Source organism: Homo sapiens, chromosome 1, assembly GCF_000001405.40.
Source record: "Homo sapiens chromosome 1, GRCh38.p14 Primary Assembly".
Lineage (NCBI taxonomy): Eukaryota > Metazoa > Chordata > Mammalia > Primates > Hominidae > Homo > Homo sapiens.
The window spans coordinates 114,167,076-114,173,075 of NC_000001.11; positions in this window are offsets into that span (position 1 = coordinate 114,167,076).

Below are 6,000 nucleotides of genomic sequence, written 5' to 3' on the forward strand. Positions count from 1 at the left end.
AGTGAAGACAAAATCCTCTTCTTCATTTCTCCTCGGATGCCATGGCAGGCTGGCAATTGAAAAAGAACCTTAAGAATGACTGAGGAAGGAATTACCTTTCATATAAATAGTTTTTGGATATCCAAGAATCGTCACACTCTAGACAGAAAGAGCAGGTGCCACATCACAGGCATCTTGCTTGGGTCCTGGCCCTGTCGGGTGGGGGCTGGAGCTAGTTCTCAGAGGTCCCCAACTGAGCAGCAGGAACGAGGCATCCTGACATTTACCACAAGCTCTGCAGCAGCAGCCAAGAGGTCACTTGTGCAATACCAGAGAAACAAAAGCTAAAGGCCACCCGCACCAGAGACAGGAGCTGAGACTCCACCTGCCAACCCAGAATGTCAGGGAAAGCTAGGGGTGGGGCCAACACAAAGCTGGTCAGGTCCCAGGGCAACCACCACAGACACTTGAGGATGTTCAGAGCTTACCTTTGGGGGATGTTTCTGGTGTGCTCTGTGGCTGAGTGGCTTGAGCAAGAATAAAGGATTTTGGGGCAAGGCAGAGAGCTTCCCTTCTTTCTAGCCACAGCTAGTCTTTAAACTTAAGAGAAGACCACAGTCAACTGTCACTCAGAAAGTTGGATGACCCTCATTTTTAGCCCAACACAATTCCAATTGGCAAGACACAGAGGAAGTTAAGAGTATGGGTCTTGGAGTTAGAAAAAGGTGGACGTAAATCGTGTCTGTGTAATTTATTCTCTCTCTCTGTATACAGTACTTCCAAACCTCCATTTCATCAACTGTAGAATGGGGATAATACAAGCACCTGTTAGAATTGCCAGGAGAATTGAATGTGATAGTACTCGTAAAAGGCCTAGCATACAGTAAATGCTCAATAACTGATAGCTCTGTGATTATTGTTTGAACTTGATAAGTCCTTACTGAGTGGCCTCTAATCTAAAAGTATGACCTTGATAAAATCCCCCATTAAGGGTCACCAACTGAACCACAAGAGAACAGAAATTGCCCTCAGCTCCAGAGAGCAGTCTGCCTCTAGGTAAGGTAAAGAGGTGTTGCTGTGCCCTAGAAACCTTCAGATGGTCCCCTTCACTTCGAAGCTGAGGTGGGCCCTAGTGGGCGAGGAGGGGCTGATGGTTAAACTGAGCCCTTGGGACATAAATTATGAATCAGTGACCTTTGCTAGTTTAATTACTCCCACTGCTGGGTGGTCTGTGCTCTGGCACTAGCCCCGGTAGGGGGCAAATTCTGCTCGCAGCCGGCAAAGCCCAGGGCCTGGTGCTTTTGCTTTCATCACCCCTGGTTCGTGTGGTTATTTCTGTGGCAGGAAAATTTTCTCACTGTGATGAAGGTCATGCTCTAGTCTAGGGGCAGGCCTGCTCTGGGCTCCCCTCATCCCTTTGACTTTGCAAAACACCTTATTATTCTTCAAAGCTTGTTGACATCATCCATCTTTTTTTTTTTAAAGCTGAATCTGACTGTATTAATAAAGCTGTCACACTAGTAGGTCTGTGGGTTCTAATCGAACTGATACATAGAAACAATCACATTCAGACAAAAAGAACACAGGGCACTCCATGAGGGAGTGACGCTCTGGGGCCTGAGAGGCTGCTGTTTGTTTACAGCCTCAAGATGGGAGAGACCAAGAGGATGACTTTTTTTTTAATAAAATATTTTCAAATATACACAGAATAATAAAACGAAATCCCATATAACTGTCACTTAGATTCAAAAATTGTCAACATTATCCCTATCTTGTTTCATGTCTTTCTCACCTCTTTATTTTCCTGAAGTATTTTAAAACAAATTCCAGACATTATATCATTTCACTTGTCTATTCTTCTGCACATACTTCTGATAAAAACTTTAAATGAGTATGACTCTAAATATACGTGGCCTTACCTATATACAAGTACTCATCACCCCTGACAAAACCAGCAAAACAATAATTCTCTAATATTACCCTGTCCACACTGAAATTGTGCTGTTATTTGAGAATGTCTTTTTATAGTTGGTGCATTTTTTTATTAGGATCCAAAGTGGTTGGTTTTTAATAGTAGCTTCTAATTTCCTCTCTCCAAAGTTGGTAACCGAATGGGATAACCTAGACAGCAGCCAGGCACAGGCAGTCACTAGAGTGGGGATGGGGACAGGAGGGAAAAACCTACATTTTCCCAAGACAGGGCCTGGGCCCCAGAAAATTCTGTTTTAAGCTCAGGCTTCTTGGAGGTGTGGCTTGGAGCCTTGGGTACAGAGATATCTCTTTGGGATATTATAACAGCCATCCTATGGGATAGGCCTCTCATGATCACTACCAAGCTGGCTTGGGGCTCTGCCAATGCCTTTCTGCTGCCCCTGTCTCAGTAGCCATGGCTATCTGTTCATCACGGATTGACTAAACGCTTATTAGGCACCTGTTCTGCACTGAGAGTTGGGGGAGCCAGCAAGGAACAGACAGGTCAGATTCTACAAGTTTCCTGTCTGGTACCGTGATAGTCCAGAGACAGTGTCTTAAGCCCATGTCAAGTGTGTGCAAACAGCTGCAGAAGCCAGAGGAGGAACCCATGAATATGCTGAGAATCAAGGAAGGTTCAGAAAAGGTGACATTTTGAAATGATTCTGGGGGTGTTGAGGTTGCTGAGGGGGCCAATGAGTCACATCTCCCGATTCTAAAGCAGAAGCAGACATGGAAATAAAAATGAGATAAAATATCTGCTGAACTGGGGAAAACAACGTAGATCCAAGGCCCAAAAGAGCTCCCTGCTCCTCATCAGTCAGGGGTGATTTTAAATTAAAAGCCATGGGAGAAGGGATGGGGATGCAGCCAAAACAATGAAAGTTTATTTATTTATTCATTTATTTATTTATTTTGAGACAGATTCTCGCTCTGTCACCCAGACTGGAGTGCAGTGGTGCAACTTCGGTTCACTGCAACCTCTGCCTCCCAGGTTCAAGCGATTCTCCTGCCTCAGCCTCCCGAGTAGCTGGGATTACAGGTGCATGCCACCACACCCAGCTAATTTTTATATTTTTAGTAGAGACAGGGTTTCACCATGTTGGCCAGGCTGGTCTCAAACTCCTGACCTCAGGTGATCTGCCTGCTTCGGTCTCCCAAAGTGCTGAGATTACAGGTGTGAAACCAATGTGCCTGGCCCACAAGAACTTTAAAAAAATACCACACCATTTGTAAAAGGTTATGTGAACAGGTCAAACCTTCACTAGTGTGGACGCTGGAGAGTGTTACGAAGTAAGCCAGGAGAATCTGTGGGTCTGTCCAGGAAGGCCTCATGTATGTAGAGAAGAAGGCTTCCTGTTCAGCCTGTGGCCTCCAAGTCCTTGCTCAAGGTGTTCTCCTGGCCTGGGGACCCTGCTCAAATCTCTTCAGCCAAATCATGTCCCTCGCATGCTCTTCTTCAGGAAGTCTTCTCTTTCATTACCTCTTGTTCTCCAATGTCAACCTTTGCAGACCTGCTCATCCACACCACTCTCAAAGTCTACCCCCTGACAACACGCTTGATCTCCTGGCATTGAGCCCCTAGCCTTTCATACAGACCCTTTCACATGACATAAATTCTTGTTGCTAATGTTAAGTCATCTCTTGTGAACTTCTAGATGGCTGTCCCTGCCCTGGGGTTTCTTTTGTATCCCCACAGTGCTTTGCAAAGGTGTTTACCCTTGGCCAGAGCCTGTCTCATTAATTCATTCAACTAATAACTAAATCACTAACTAAGCACAGGAGATATAGCACTGAGCAAAAACAGGCTCCCTGTCTTCATGAAGCTTATAAACCAATGAGAGAGGTGGATAATGAACAAAAAAACAAGCGTATAATATGATGTCAGTGTATTAGTTCATTCTCACACTGCTATAAAGATACTACCCAGGAATGGGTAATTGATAAACAAAGGAGGTTTAATTGACTCACACTTCCACATGGCTTTAGAGGCCTCAGTAAACTTACAATCATGGCAGAAGGGGAAGCAGGCACCTTCTTCACAAGGTGGTGAGAGAGCATGAGTGTGTGAAGAAGGAACTGTCAAACACTTGTAAAACCATGAGATTTTGAGAGAACTCACTCACTATCACAAGAACAGCATGGGGGAAATCGCCCCCATGATCTAATCACCTCCCTCCCTCAACACAAGGGGATTACAGTTTCCTCCCTTGACACATAGGGACTACAATTCAAGATGAGATTTGGGTGGGGACACAGAGCCAAACCATATCAATCAGGTAGCAATAACTGTCAACAACAACAAAAACATAAGCAAAGGAAAGAGAGAGTAACAGGTGATGCCTTTATTGGTATCCAATGATACCAATGGTACCAATGGTATCATTGGTATCATTGATACCAATGGTAACATTCCCTGAGACAGAGACAGGGCAAAATTTTTGGCCTTTGACCAGAATAAAGTGAAGGAGTGATACATTTGAATACCTAGAGGAAGTGAATTCTAGATAGAGAGAAGAGCAAATGCAAAGGCTATGAGATGAGAATGTGCTTGAAATGTTCAAGGAGCATCTGGATGACCAATGTGGCTTGAGCCAAGTGAGAGAAGGGAAAGGGGTAGAAGGCAAAGTCGGAGAGGTTATGTAGGCTGTGTTGTCCAGTGTGGGAGTTGCCACATGTGACTATTTAAATTTAAATTAATTAGAATGGGTTACAATTTGAAATTTAATTTCTCAGTTGGTGTAGCCTCATTTCAAGTGCTCATAGCCACACATGGCCAGTGGCTACCATATTGGACAGCACAGATATTGGATGCCACTGCAGAAAGCTCTATTGGACAGAGTTGGTATAAAGCCTTGTAGACCTCAGTGAGGACTTAGGATTTTATTCTCTAAGAGAGATGGAAAACTCTGGGAGGGGTCTGATTTACATTTTAAAGGATCATTCTGGCTGTGTGGAGAATACTTTTTAGGGGGACAAGGGTGGAAGTGAAGAGACCAACTAGGAGACTGCTACAATAATCCAAGACAGATGGTAGTGGCCAGGATCAGATGGTGGTGGTAGAGGTGGTGAGATTTAGTGGATTTGAAGGTATATTTTAAAGACAGAACTGAAAAGAATTTGCCAATAGGGTAGATGTGGGGTGTATGTGAGACAAAGGAATCAACAATGACTCACAGGTTTTTGATCTGAGAAAGTGGATGAATTGTGTGGCACCAATCACTGAGCTAGAGATTGCTGGGGAAGAGAGGTTTTGGTGGGAGTGAAGGTGGCATGGAAATCATGCATTCAGTTTGTATGTGTCAAGTGTGAGATGTCTATTAGACATCCATGCAGAGATACAAGTTATATTCAACTTTGGAATTCAGGGAAGAGGTCAGGGCTGAAGCCAAAAATCTGGGAGGTGATCTTTAAATCTGTAAGACTGAATGAGCTCATCCAGGGTGTTATGGTCTGAATGTTTATGTCTCCTCCCACGACGCACCAAATTCATACGCTGAAATCCTAACCCCAAGGTGATGAGGTAGGGCCTTTGAGAGGCGATGAGGTCATAAGGGCTTCACTTTCATGAATGGAATTAGTGCCCTTATAGAAAAGGTTCCAGAGAGCTAGACCTTTTTATCATATTAGGTTGTAGCAAGAAGTTGCCATCTATGAAAAATCAGCCCTCATCCAGCACTGAATCTGCCAGCCCATGATCTTGGACTTCCCAGCCTCTAGAACTATGAGAAACAAATTATTGTTGTTTATAAGTGATCTAGTTAATGATGTTCTGTTATAGTAGCCCAAAAGGACTAAGACACACACACACACACACACACACACACACACACACACACACACACACAGAGAGAGAGAGAAGAGAGAAGAAAAGGTCTACAAACAGAGCCTGGCACCGGCACAATTTAAATGCTGGAGAAGAGGATCCACAAAATAGCTATGAAGGAGCAGTCCATTAGGTGGGAGAGCAGGAGAGTTTGGTGCCCGGCAGCCAAGTAGAATGATTGTTTCAAGAAGGACCAGTCATACCCAAAGCAGCTAAGAGGTTTA